The sequence below is a fragment of the Homo sapiens genome, chromosome 4, assembly GCF_000001405.40.
Source record: "Homo sapiens chromosome 4, GRCh38.p14 Primary Assembly".
NCBI classification, from domain to species: Eukaryota; Metazoa; Chordata; class Mammalia; order Primates; family Hominidae; genus Homo; species Homo sapiens.
In genome coordinates, this window is record NC_000004.12 from 155,449,509 (window position 1) to 155,463,894 (window position 14,386).

Genomic DNA, 14,386 nt, shown 5'->3' on the forward strand with positions numbered 1-14,386 from the left:
GTGTACATAGAGTTCATACAGCTTTCAATTTTACTTGATAGCATCAAGTGGAACGTTTATCATCAGATGTAGGACATGCACCTTTTCAGCTTTGCTATTCAAAGGGGTCCTCAAGAAGATCAAATCGAGAATATAGAAAAAAACAAAAATGAAATGAAAGAAATTATCCATAGCGCTAATAACTTAAGAAAAACAGCACTGAACTTTGGCATGCTTCCTTCTCCAGTCACTTTCCAAATGCAAATATCTTTGCTTTGTTTCTTAAATATACTATGGCCATTCATATGTATATGAATGACACAACAACAGCATTGTATGAATATATATAACATATTGTGGTAGATCCAGTTCCATCATCCCTTGCCCATCTTCACCTTACTTTTGTGCAGTAAGGAGTGACCTTGTTCCTCAATTCTGATTACTCAGATGTGAGGAGAAGGCTGCTGAAGGTTATGGGAAATCCATAGCTAATTTTTCTGATTAATGATGTTATTAGTGACTGTGATTTTCTGATATTGTGTATTGAATTTGGAAGATCTTTATAATTTAGCAAGCCAATATTTTTCAAATAATCAGTGTGTGGTATTACAAAACAAAGCATGGGAAAAGATTTTTTGAAAGTTCAAGATATGACAATGAATTTTCATGTATCAGAATACAAAAAGTTATAGATAAGGTTTCACATTCCATATAGTAGTTAACTTTTAATGAAATATAATTTATTGATTTTTGGTGTAGTATCAAAAATAATATCCGCAGTTGTCTGAAAGAACCATTAAAATACTCCTCCCCTTTTCAACTATATTCATGAGAGGCCAAATTTTCATTATGTACTTCAACAAAAATAATACATCAAAACAGATTGAATGCAGAAGTAGATATGAGAATCCAGCCATTATCTATTAAGCAGGACAGTTATGAAATACAAAACAGTGCTACTCTTCTCAGATATTATTTGCTTGGAAACATGTAGTTACTTTTCCTAAAATATAGTATTTATATTAATCAAATAGGTTTGTTATTATTGTTTTAAAACAAACTAATAAATATTCAAAAATTCTCAGTTTTAATTTCTAACACTCTATATGTCATTAATAAAAAATAAAAATGGAGGTCACAGTGTAGATATAGCCCAAAGCCAACCACCTGTTACCACATGGCCAAAACATCGGTCATTTTGATTCCCCACCAACACTAGCTGTAAGCGTCAACAAAACACAAAATCATAAACATAAGCTTTATATCCTTGTCAACATGCATCAGTGAAATTAGACAATCAGCTATAGAAATTAGCTTAAACAGCTCCAGCTGCCTTAACAAAATGATGATGTGTAACAGGCAGTCACAGAAAAGGTCACATACTTCCTCCTTTATGTGTAAAAACTATGTTGTAACTGCTCTGAGTGGGGATTCTTACCACCTTGGGCTGAGTTCTCCTGGTTTGTGAATTGTTCCTTTGTATGCACAATAAACTTTTACCATTTTTCTAACTTCATGTAGTTTTATATTTGACATTATGGATATATCCTACATAAACAGAAGTCTTTGAGGTCCACAATAATATTTTTAAATATACTTTTTTAGTGCAATTTTAGGTTCACAGCAAAATTGAGTGGAAGATACAGAAATATTCCATATATTCCCTGTCCTCAGACATGCATAGCCTCCCCATTACCAACATCTGCCATCAGAGTGATACATTTGTTCAACTGATGAACCTACATGGACACATCATTATCACCCAAAGTCAGTTTACATTGGGGTTCACCGTTGGTGTTGTACATTCTATGGGTTTATAATTACATCTATTCACCATTACAGTATCATCCAGAACAGTTTCATTGTCCTAAAAATCCTTTGTGCTCTGTCTCGTCATCCCTCTCTCCTCCCTAATCCCTGGCAACCTCTGATCTTTTTACTGTCACCATAATTTTGTCTTTTCCAGAATGTCATATAGTTGAAATCATACAGTAGGTAGCCTTTTCAGATTGGTTTCTTTCGCTTAGTAGTATGCATTTTAGATTCCTCCATGTCTTTTAATAGCCTTTTGTAGCTTATTTCTTTTAGCTCTGAGTAATATTCTGTTGTCTGGATAAACACTTTTGCTTGCATAGGCAAACAAAATGTACCACTCTGGCTTAATGTGGGATGGGGTGTTGAGGGGGTTGGCTAATGCATAGTTATCTGGGTCGCCCAGGAGGTCAGGCGAAAATAGTACTAGAATTATTAGGAGGAGGAGGAGAAAAATTAAACCTAAAATGTCTTTGGTAGTATGGTAGGGGTGGAAGGTAATGTTGTCAGGGTCTGATGAAAACCCTGAAGGGTTATTAGATCCTGTTTCATGTAGGAATTAAAGGTGAACAGCTGCTAGGGCTGTAATGATGAAGGTAAGATGAAATGGAAAGTGAAGAATCATGTAAGGGTGGCTTTGTCGACTGAGAACCCACCTCAGATTTATTGCACAAGGTCAGTTCCAATATATCGGATGGCTGATAGTAGATTTGTAATTACTGTAGCGCCTCAGAATGATATCTGGCCTCATGGGAGCATGTAGCCTATGAATGCTGTTGCCATTGTTTTGAGTAGGAGGATGATGCCAATATTTCAGGTTTCTAGGAATGTAAATGATCTATAGTATAAACCTCAGCCAATGTGTAAGAAGACGCAGATAAAAAATATTGAACTGCCATTAGCATGAAAATAGCGAACAATTCAGCCGAAGTTTACATGTCGGCTGATATGAGTGACTGAAGAGAAGGCAGTTGAGGTGTCTGATGTGTAGTGCATGGCCAAAAGCAGTCCTGTCCTGTAATGATTTGGAGGGTTAGGCAGGCACCAAAAAGTGAGCCAAAGTTTCATGATATAGAAAGGTTAGATGATGTGGGAAGATCAATGAATAATTAATAGTTTTTATTAGCAGGTGTGTTTTGCATATATTGGCCATTAGCCTTCTTATAGTTGAAATACTACAATGATTTTTCATGTCGTTAGTCATGATTATAGTCCATGTGGGAATAATGGCATATACTATATTTTTATTAAGTGTCACTTTGGTTATAGGATTTGTAGGTTTCTCTTCGAAACCTTATCCTATTTACGGAGGTCTAGGGCTAATTATTAGTGGTGCTGTGGGTTGAATTTGTTGAATTTTGGTGGTGCTTTCGTGGGGTTGATGTTTTTTTAATTCCCCATTTGTGTGGTATGATGATTGTTTATGGCTATACCACAGCGATGGCTACTGAGGAGTATCCTGAAACATGAGGGTCAAGTATTGATATCTGAGGAGCCTTATTATTAGGACTAATAATGGAGTTGATGCTGGTTCTGTGAATAGTTGAGCATGATGCAGTGAGGATCATGGTTAATTTTAATAGCATAAAGAGCTGGACGATTTTTGAGGGTGAGGGGGCAGGGTTGTTGCGTGAAGATTCTGTGTATGTGGCTGCCTTGTACAGTTATGAATGCTGATTAGTGGTAGTTGCTGGTTGATGATTATTTGTTGGTATTTATGTTCTGATTGAAATTATCAGGATAATAGATTAGATAATTAGGAGCAGAGTTAGAAGGGATGGGATAAAAAAAGAAAGTAGAGTTTAATTAGGCCGTTCTGAGTAGATATGGTAATGGAGGCTGAAATTTGGGTTGTGTAATGGTCTTTGGTATAGACTTTTCTAGTCATATTAGGTCTAGTAGAAGTGAAGCCAGATTTTGGCTTGTGTATAGGCCTGAGTGGGGGTTTGTATGGTGAATTGTGGATGAATAAAATCCTAGTATGTTGGAGAAGTTGAATGTCTGTAATGGGTATTTTGGTTTAAGGTTATTAGTTTCAAGATTAAGCTCCATTGCTAGTGAGAAGCCTAAGATGGTCACACCTAGGGCTGTGAGCTTCAGGTGGAGTGGTATGGTTGTTTTTGGGGATGAAGCAGGAATAATACGGTTGGTGATGAGGAATCCGGCGAATATGCTGCCAACTGTTAGGCGCTTAATTGAGTTAATTAGGAAGGGGTTATTTTCATTAATAGCAGCCAGAGTCATGAAGCAAGGTTGTCCTATAAGAGCGAAGAAAATAATATGGGTATCACGGACAGCTGTCAAGGAAGTGGCAATAAGAGTAATAGAAAGGGCTCAGGCGTTGGTGTATGAACGTGTTTGCAGTTTCAATGATGAGGCCTTAGAGTAAAAGCTTGTAAGGAAAGGCATGCCTGTAAGTGCAAGACTGCCAATAATAAAGGATGAGGAAGTGAGGGGCAAAGTCTTGAATAGCCCTCCTATTTTTCAGATGTCTTGTTCATCATTGAGGCTATGGATGATGAACCCTGAACATATAAATAATATAGCTTTAACAAAGGCATGGGTGCAGATGTGAAGGAATGCTAGGTGTGACTGATTAATGCCAATTGTGACTATTATAAGGCCTAGCTGGCTTGAGGTGAAGAATGCTATGATTTTTTGGATATCATTTTGTGTTAGAGCACAGATAACTGTGAATAAGGTAGTAATAGCCCCCAGACATAATATAAAGGTTTGGATTGATAGGTTATTTTCTATTAAAGGGTAGAAGCGGATAAGCAAGAAAACTCCTGCTGCAACTGTAGTGCTGGAGTGGAGTAGGGCTGAGACTGGGGCTGGGCCTCCTATTGCAGATGGAAGTCAGAGATGGAGGCCAAATTGAGCTGACTTTTCTGCTGCTGCTAAGAGAAGGCTAATTAATGGAAGGAGATGGGGATCTGGTCTAGAATAAATGTTTGTTAAAATTCTCATGTGTTGGAGGACAGGAACAATGCTATAGCTAAAATAAAGCCAATATCACTGATGCAGTTGTACAGGACTGTTTAGAGGCCTGCTGTATTAGCATCTGCTCTGCCATACCATCAGCTGATTAGTAAGAAAGACATGATTCCTACACCTTCCCATCCGATAAAGAGCTGAAAGAGGTTGTTGGCAGTAACCAGAATTAATATCGTGATGAAGAAAATAAGCACTTGAAAAACTGATTAATGTTAGGGTCTGAATTTATATATCATATTGAGAATTCTACAATAGATCAGGTAATGAATAGCACTACTGGGATAAATTTTGTGGAGAAGTAGTCTAGTTTGAAGCTTAGTAAGAGTTTGAGAGTCTGGATCATCATTCAATGTCAGTTTGAGATAATGGCTTCTTGGTCTGTGCATATAAACGTTGTTGGGATGAGGCTAACGATGAAGGCATATGCGATAGATGTTTTTACATAATTTGGGTATGAGCCTATTTTGCAGGAGTTGACTAAGGTAATAGTAATCGGTAGGAATTAAGGGGATTAGGGCTGTTATAGCCATGGAAGATACATGTTTGTTACTTTTATTTGGAGTTACATCAATGTTTTTGGTTCCTAAGACCAATGGATAACTCCAATCCTTTAAAAGTTGAGAAAGCCATGTTGTTAAACATGGGGGCATGAGTTAGCAGTTCTTGCATACTTTCTTGGTAGGTAAGAAGTTGCAGGCTTTTATTGTTAGATCCACGATCTAATGTTTTGGTTAAACTATAGCTACAGCATGCAAACCACATAATAATTTTAGGGTTTAAGGATAATAGGAAGATAGGTGCAAGATGTATAAGTATTAATGTGTTTTCTCATGTAAAGGAAGGTTTAATACTGTTAATATAATATGCAAGTGTCCCTCGTGTTGTGATTAGCATATACAGGGAGTAAAGGGCTGTAATTAGTATATTAAGTCGTATAAGCATAATAGTGATATTTGATCAGGAGAATAAGGCCATAGTCACAAAGAGTTCTTCTACTAGATTAATGGTAGGGGGTAAGGCAAGGCTAGTAAGATTTGCTAGAAGTCATCAAGAGGCTATTAGCGGGAGCAGTGTTTGAAGGCCTCAGGTAAGAAATATGGTTTGGCTATGGACTTGCTCGTAGTTTGAATTTGCTAGGCAGAAGAGTAAGGATGAAGTGAGTCCATGAGCAATTATAAGGATGATCGCATCTATAAAGCTTCAAGGGGTCTGAATGAGGATAGCCATAATAACAAGTGTTATGTGGCTTATGGAGAAGTAGGCAATAAGTGATTTTAGATCTGTTTGTCGTAGACAAATAGAGTTTGTCATAACTATTCCTCATAGGGACAACATGAGGAAAGGGTAGGCTATATGTTCTGTTGGGGGTTGAGGTTAAGAGTAAGCCATATTATACGGTAACCGCCTAGCTTTAGGAGTACTGCTGCAAGTACTATTGAGTTGGCAATAGGGGATTCTACATGGGCTCTGGGGAGTCATAGGTGAAGTCCATATAGAGGTATTTTTACTATGAAGGCCATGATACATGCTAGTGATACAAGATTATTGGATCAGGAGGTTAATAGCTCTTGGATAGTAAATATTATTACTAGCATATTTAGTGAACCTGAGGTATTTGGAGTATAAACAAATGTTACAAATAAAGGAAGGGATCCTACTAGTGTGTAAAATAAGAAGTGTGATCTTGCATTGAGGCGTTCTGGTTGGTTGCCTCAGTGGGTGGTGATAATTAGGGTGGGAACTAGTGTGGCTTCAAAGAGGATATAAAATATGATTAGTCTGTGGCAGTGAATGCTATGATTAAAAAAGTCTGTAGAGAAATCAATATCGAAATATAGAATTTTTTCATGGGGGTGATTCATTGGACAGGTGGTATTGGCTTGCTAGAATTATAAGAGGCAGTAGTCAGACTGTTAAGATTAGAAGGGGTGATGTCAGCAGGTCAGAAAAGATTAATGAGAAGTTGGATGAGTTATCGTTCAATTGGTTAAAAAATAGTAGGCTGATAAGGCTGATGAGCAGGCTGTGGATAACCATGTTGATTCAGATTATATAATTTTTAGAGAATCATATCATTGGTAACAGTATAATTGTTGGAGTAATAATTTTTAGCATTGAAGTAAACTTAGATTTTGTATGTAATCTAGGCCATATGTACTGGAGATTGAAACTAGTAAGGCAAGGCCCACTGCGGCTTCTCAGGCAGCAAATACTAAGAGGATAATGGGTATTATGGATGCTAGGGTGAAATGTATATTTAAAGTTATAAGAGTATTTATGATATATATTGATTGATGCCTTCTAGGCATAATAGGGATGATATTAGGTGGGATTGATAGAGTAATACTCCTAGCAGTGATATGGTGTATGCTAATATAATAATAATATTAATAGAGGTCATTTGGTAAATGTGGTCTATCATAATCTAATGAGTCAAAATCATTTATTTTGACTTAAACTATTTACCAATTCAACTCAGTCTAACACTTTTGGGGCTCGTTCATAAGTCAAGCCTAGGATTGAAATGGTAACTAATACAAGGGCTGTGCTGATTATTAGTGTCAGGTTGGTTGTTTGAAGGGCTCATGGCAGGGGTAGTAGTACAGCAATCTCTAAGTCGAAGAGGAGGAATGTGATGGCTCCTAAGAAGAATATTATGGAAAAGGGGAGGTGGGCAGAGGTTATTGGGTGAAATCCACATTCATAGGAGTTGGATTTTTCTGTATAAATATTAAGTTGTGGGAGCCAAACTGCTTTTATTAGTAGTAATAGGGCCAGTAAGGTGTTGGTTACTAGGGCTAATGTCAAGTTGATTACTCTCTTTCGGATAATATCAAAACTAATTGATTAGAAGTCAATGGTACTGCTTATACTAAAAGAGTAGGATCCTCATCAGTAGATAGAGACGTATAAGAATAGTCATACTACATCTATGAAGTGTCCATATCAGGCGGCAGCTTCAAAGCCAAAGTGGTGGTTGGATGTAAAGTGGAATTTTAATTAGCGGAGGAGGCAGATAGTGAGAAATGTTGATCCAATAATAACATGAAGTCCGTGAAAGCCTGTGGCTATGAAGGATGTTGAGCTGTAGATTCCATCAAAGATAGTAAACGGGGCCTCGAAATATTCTAAGACTAGTAGAAGGGTCAAACAAATTCCTAAGGTAATTGTGATGGATAGTGCTTGAAGTATCTGCTTTCTACTACTTTCTATCAGGCTGTGGTGAGCCCAGGTAGTTGAAACTCCTGATGCAAGTAATACAGGTGTATTCAGGAGAGGGACTTCTAAGGGGTTGAGGGGAAAAATGCCTGTTGGGTGTCAATGTCCCCCTAGCTCTGGAGTTGGGGCTAGGCTAGAGTGGTAGAATGCCCAGAAGAAACCAGCAAAAAAGAATACTTCTGAGATAACGAATAGAATTACGCTATATCGGAGGCCTTTTTGGATGATTGATGTGTGGGGGCCTTGAAATGTACTTTCTTGGATAATGTCACGTCATCACTGGTATATATAGTGTGTTGGTTAGTAGGCCTAGGGTTAAAAGGGTGATAGAGTTAAAGTGAAATCACATGGCCAGGCCAGATGTTATTAGGAGAGCTGAGAGAGCTCCTGTTAGTGGTCAGGGGCTGGGTTTGACTATATGGTAGGCACGTGTTTGGTGGGACATTACGTGTTGTCGTATAGGTAAAGGCTTACAAGTAGTGCAAAGACATAGGCCTGAATAAGGGCTACGGCGAATTCAAGGATGCTCAGTAGGATTAGAATAAAGAAGGCCATTGAAGCTGTGGGAAGACTGATAGTCGATAGTACTAGTGTGGCTCCTCTGATATAAATGCATTAGTAGGTGTCTGGCTGTAAGGCTGGCTGTTAATCGCACAGCTAATGCCATTGGTTGAATGAATAGGCTAATAGTTTCAATGATCACTAGCATAGAGATAAATGGTATAGGTGTGCCTTGTGGTAAAAAGTGAGCTAAAGAGGTTTTAGTCTTAAAGCAGAAGCCTATAATTACTGCACCTGCTCATAAGGGGATTGCTATACCTAGATTTATTGATAATTGGGTAGTTGGTGTAAATTAATGGGGTAGAGGCCCAAGGAGATTGGTTGAGGCAATGAAGAGAATTAGGAAGATCAGTATAAGGGATCAGGTTTGTCCTTTAATGTTATGGGTAATATTATTTGTTTTAGTACAAGTTGAATTAGTCACCGTTGAATGGAAATCAGTTGGTTACTAATTAGATGACTGGAGGTTGGAAGTAGTTTGGTGGGAAATAAAATGATTAATACTACTGCGGGTAGGCCTAGAATTGTCGGGGTAGTAAAAGGGGTAAATAGATTTTCTTTCATTTTAATTCTCAGGGAGCTTTATGTTTTTGCATTTTGATTATTTTTGGTATAGGGGATGTATAATGAAATTTAATAATTTTAACTGAATAATGGAGAATAAAGTTATGGTTATTGACAGAATGACAACGGATTATGTGGAAGTATCTAGTTGAGGCATTCACTGCAGAGAGGTGTAGATCCGCTCAGTCTTTAACTTAAAAGTTTAATGCTAGATAGTTTTACAGTGATATTATAGTGTGGACATGGATCAGGTTTCGAAGCATTTTAAGGGGGTTAATCCTAGGACAATAGGTATAACACTGTGGTTGGACCCACAGATTTCTGAGCACTGTCCATAGTAAAGGCCTGGTCATGTAGCAGTTAGGGTGGTTTGATTTAGGCATCCAGGGATTGCATCTGTTTTCAGCCCCAATGAGGGGATAGTTCATGAGTGCAGGATGTCTTCAGATGAGATTAATATATGGATGGGGATATCTATTGGGAGAATAGTTTGGTTATCAACTCTGAGGAGTTGAAGTTCTCCTGGCTTTAAGTCTGCTGTTGGAATTATATAAGAATCGAAGCCTAATTCTTCATAGTCTGTACATTCATAGTTTCAATATTATTGGTGGCCAATGGTGGCCAATTGCTTTGACTGTAAGAGCAGGGTTGTTAATTTCATCTGTTATTTACAGAATACGTAGGGATGGGAGGGCAATTAAAATTAAGATAATGGCAAGTAAAATAGTTCACACAGTCTGGATTTCTTGGGCATCTATGGTGCTAGTATGAGTTAATTTTGTTGTGAATATTAGGGAAATAATGTATAGGACTAGGGGACTAATTAGGAAAATAATTATAAGAGTGTGGTCATGGAAAGTGAGTAGTTCTTCCATAATAAGGAATGTAGTGTCTTGAAGTCCTAATTGAACTGCATGAGCCATTAAGACATATAGGATTTAACCTATAAACTAACTTTGACAAAGTTATGGAATAATTTTACTAATATCTTATCGAGAGAGTCGTGGGGTTATCTGACTGGCTTGAAACCAGTTTCTGGAGTTTTGATTCCTTCCTTTCTCATTTAGGTTTTCACACAGGTTGGCTCTTCAAATGTGTGGTAAGGTGGTGGACAGCTGTAAAGTCACTCTAAATTAGTAGGTGATTGCACAATTGTACTTTTCATTTTGAAGCAAAGGCCTCTCAGATCATAATGATTATTAGTATAACAGCTGTTAGTGAGATAAATGAGCCTACGGATGAGATAATATTTCATGTGGCGTACACATCAGAGTAATTGGAGTAACGTCGAGGCATACCCGATAGGCTGAGGAAGTGCTGTGGAAAAAAGGTTAAGTTAACACCTATGAATATAATGGTGAAGTGGATTTTAGCATAGGTCTGATTAAATGTATAACCTGAAAATAGGGGGAATCAGTGGCAAAGCCTCCTGTAATGGCAAATATTGCTCCTATTGATAGAAGGTAGTGGAAATGGGCTACAACATAGTATGTGTTGTGTAAGACAATATCTAGTGATGAATTAGCTAGTACAATATCGGTTAAACCTCCCACTCTGAAAAGGAAAATGAATCCTAGGGCTCAGAATATTGCGGGAGATCATCTGATGTTACCACAGTGCAGGGTAGCTAATCAGCTAAAGACCTTGATGCCAGTAGGGATGGCAATTATTATGGCAGCGGAGGTGAAGTATGCTAGTGTGTCTATGTCTGTTCCTACTGTAAATATATGGTGAGCCCATACGATAAATCCAAAGATGCCAATTGATATCATGGCTCATACTATGCCCATGTACACAAATGGTTCCTTTTTTCCAGAATAATATGTTGCGATGTGGGAGATTATCCTGAAGCCTGGTAGGATAAGGATGCAGACTTCAGGGCGACCAAAGAATCAGAATAAATGTTGGAACAAGATGGGGTCACCCCACAAGCAGGGTCAAAAGAAGTAGTGTTGAGGTTATGGTCAGTTAATAGCATAGCAATGCCGGCGGCTAGGACTGGGAGGGAAAGGAGTAGAAGGACTGCCATAATGAGGACTGATCAGACGAAAAGCGGTGTTTGATACTGGGATATGGTTGGGGGTTTTATGTTAATAATTAATAATAAAATTAATGGCCCCTAAAATAGAAAAAAACACCTGCTAAGTGGAACGAGAAGATGGTCAGAGCCACAGAGGCTTCTGCATGTGCTAGGTTTCCTGCTAAAGGGGGACAAACTGTCCAGGTGGTTCCAGCACTGGCTTCTACTATTGAAGACTCAAGTAGGAGTAGAAAAGTTAGGGGGAAAAGCCAGAAGCTGATATTATTTATTCAGGGGAATGCCATGTCGAGTCAACCAATAGTCGGAGGGACTAGCCAGTTGCCAAAAACCCCTATCATGATCGGTGTTACCATAAAGAAAATTATAACGAAATGCGTGGGCGGTAACAATAACATTGTAGATCTGATCATCTCCTAACAGAGTTCCTGGTTGACCTAGTTCTGCTCGAATTAGAAGGCTTAAGGCCGTGCCTACTATCCCGGTTCAGGCGCCATAGCAGGTATAGTGTTCCGATATCTTTGTGGTTAGTTGAAAACAATCAACGATTGATGAACATAAGTGGGGGAAAGGTAAAGTGGCTGAATAAGCATTAGACTGTAAATCTAAAGACAGAGGTCAAGGCCTCTTTTTAGCAGCCCTGAGGTGATTTCTCATGTTGAACTGAAAATTCAAAGGAGCAGCTTCAATCCTGCTGGGGCTTCTCTGCCTTTCTCCCCCAATGGCGGCGGGAGTAGATTGAAGCCAGTTGATTAGGGTGTTTAGCTGTTAACTAAATTTTATTCGTGGTTTGAATTCCACCAATCTCATAAGGGCTTAGCTTAATTACAGCGGTTGATTTGCGTTCAATTGATGCAGTATAGAGTCTTGCAGTGTTTAGATCTGTTACAGAAATTAAGAGTAACTTACTTACTAAGGGCTTTGAAGGTTCTTGGTCTTATTTAACCTAAATTTCTAAGTTATAGTTAGTATTAATGGAGAGATGGGTAAGAGGAGGGTAGAAGAGATGACAAGTGGGGGGAAGAGTAGTGTGGGTTTTGTGTTTTCAAATTGTCATTTTATTTTCATATTGCTAGATGTGGGGAATAGTGTTACTGATAAGGAATAGACTAGGCATATATAAAAGTACAGGTTGAGTAGGTTATGATAGCTATAATGATTGGGTTAATAAGGCTATTGTTTTTTGTAAATTCTTGAATGATGATTCATTTAGAAAGGAACCCTGTTAATGGGGATAAACCTCCTAAGGATAGTAGAATTAGTGGAATTACAGGTGTCAACCATGCTCATTTGTTTCAGGTGTGAGATAGTGATAGGGTTCTGGTGCTTATACTCTGGCTGAGTGCTAGAAATGCGGTTGTTGTTAGGATAAAGTAAATAATCAGGTTTAGGGTGGTAATGTTTGGATTATAAATTAGTACTGCTGTTGTTCAACCTATGTGAGTGACTGAGGAGTAGGCTAGGATTTTACACAGTTGTTTGATTAAGTCCCCCTCAACCACCCACTATAATGGATAGGATTGTGACAGGAGGATGTTCGTGTTTGTTGATGAAAAGTTTGAAACACAGTTGAGATAGGAGCTAGTTTTTGTCATGTGAGGAGAAGTATACCAGACATCAAAGAGATTCCCTGAATTACCTCTGAGACTCAGAAGTGAAAGGGGGCTATTCCTAGTTTTATTACTAGGGCCACTATTATTATTAAGGATAAAAATTGATTGATAGTGTATTATTGTTCATTGTCCGGAGAACAGGTTATTGGGAAGGATATCTGTTATGAGAATTATAGATGTGGTTGCTTGTGTAAGGAAATATTTGGTGGCTGCTTCTGTAGAGCGGGGATTTATTTTTTTAATTAAGATTGGGGTAAGGGCTAGTATGTTTATTTCTAGCCCTGTTCAGATGAGAAATCAGTGTGAGCCTAGCATTGTGATAAAAGTTCCTGTGAAAATGGTGAGGGCAAAAATAAGTTGAGGTAAGGGATTAATTAGTATAGGAAGGATATAACCAACATTTTTGGTGTATGGGCCCAATAGCTTATTTAGCTGACCTTAATCTAGGACGTGGTGTGATAGGTAGCACAGAGAATTTTGGATTCTCAGGGGTAGGTTAAATTCCTATAGTACTAGAAATTAGAGGATTTTAACCTCTATTGTTTACTCTATCAAAGTAATTCTTTTGTCTGACATATTTCCTATGTTTGGGGTGGGATGCTGGAAATTAGGACAAGCATTGAGATATATCATATGCAAAATGCTAGCGTAAGTGGTAGGAAGTTTTTTCATAAAAGATGTATGAGTTGGTCATAGTGGAATCGAGGGTATGCCATTCGAATTCATAAAAATAGAGTGGTTAAAAGAAGGGTCTTGGTAATGAAATTTGTGGTGTAGAGTTCTGGTGAATATATAGTGTGTAGTGCTCCTAGGAAAATAGTAGTAGTTAAGGCATTTATTATGATAATATTCATATATTCTGCTATAAAGAAGAGGGCAAATGACCTGTGGCGTATTCGATGTTGAAGGCTGAGACTAACTCTGACTCTCCTTCTGCTAGATCAAAAGGTGCTCGGTTAGTTTCTGCTAGTGTGGAGATGAATCATATTATGGCTAGGGGCCATGACGGTAGGAGCAGTCAGAGGAATTCTTGCATTGTGATGAGTGTGTATAAGTTAAATGAGCTGCTTATCAGTAGAACTGATAGCAGGATAATGGCTAGGGTGACCTTATATGAAATTGTCTGGGCCACAGCTGGTAATGCACTGATCAGTGCATATTTTGAATTAGATGCTCATTCTGATCATAGAGTAGACAGCCTGGCTTGATGTTGCTAGTATAAATAGGAGGCCTATATTAAAATTAATTAGACGATCTGGTATAGGCAGGGGAGTTCATAAAAGGAGAGCAATGGAAAGGGCTAGTGTTGAAGCAGTAACATAAAGGGTAATAGTGGATGTTGAGGGCCATAAGGGTTCTTTGGTGAAAAGTTTTATTCCATCAGCGAATGGCTGAAGCAGCCCATAGGGACCTACAATTTTGGGTCCTTTGCATAGTTGTGTATAGCCTAAGATTTTTCATTCGATGAGTGTAAGGAATGCTATAGCAATAAGAGTGGGGATAATAAGTAGGAGAAGGTTAATTATAGCCATATTGTTAAGAAGAGGAGTTGAACCTCTGATTATAAAATTTTAAGTTTTATGCAATTACCAGGCTCTGCCAT

At 38.2% G+C, this 14,386-nt stretch overlaps 13 pseudogenes; 3 read left to right on the forward strand and 10 right to left on the reverse strand.

The window, feature by feature from the left end:
- Positions 2,109-2,897, reverse strand: MTCYBP17 (MT-CYB pseudogene 17; annotated as a pseudogene).
- MTND6P17 (MT-ND6 pseudogene 17) lies at positions 3,018-3,536 on the forward strand (annotated as a pseudogene).
- On the reverse strand, positions 3,546-5,306 carry MTND5P9 (MT-ND5 pseudogene 9; annotated as a pseudogene).
- MTND4P8 (MT-ND4 pseudogene 8) lies at positions 5,539-6,903 on the reverse strand (annotated as a pseudogene).
- On the forward strand, positions 6,901-7,180 carry MTND4LP29 (MT-ND4L pseudogene 29; annotated as a pseudogene).
- Positions 7,264-7,599, reverse strand: MTND3P3 (MT-ND3 pseudogene 3; annotated as a pseudogene).
- MTCO3P9 (MT-CO3 pseudogene 9) lies at positions 7,672-8,452 on the reverse strand (annotated as a pseudogene).
- MTATP6P9 (MT-ATP6 pseudogene 9) lies at positions 8,453-9,132 on the reverse strand (annotated as a pseudogene).
- Positions 9,362-10,055, reverse strand: MTCO2P9 (MT-CO2 pseudogene 9; annotated as a pseudogene).
- Positions 10,196-11,729, reverse strand: MTCO1P9 (MT-CO1 pseudogene 9; annotated as a pseudogene).
- On the reverse strand, positions 12,131-13,158 carry MTND2P33 (MT-ND2 pseudogene 33; annotated as a pseudogene).
- NMTRQ-TTG15-1 (nuclear-encoded mitochondrial tRNA-Gln (TTG) 15-1) lies at positions 13,228-13,299 on the forward strand (annotated as a pseudogene).
- On the reverse strand, positions 13,365-14,315 carry MTND1P22 (MT-ND1 pseudogene 22; annotated as a pseudogene).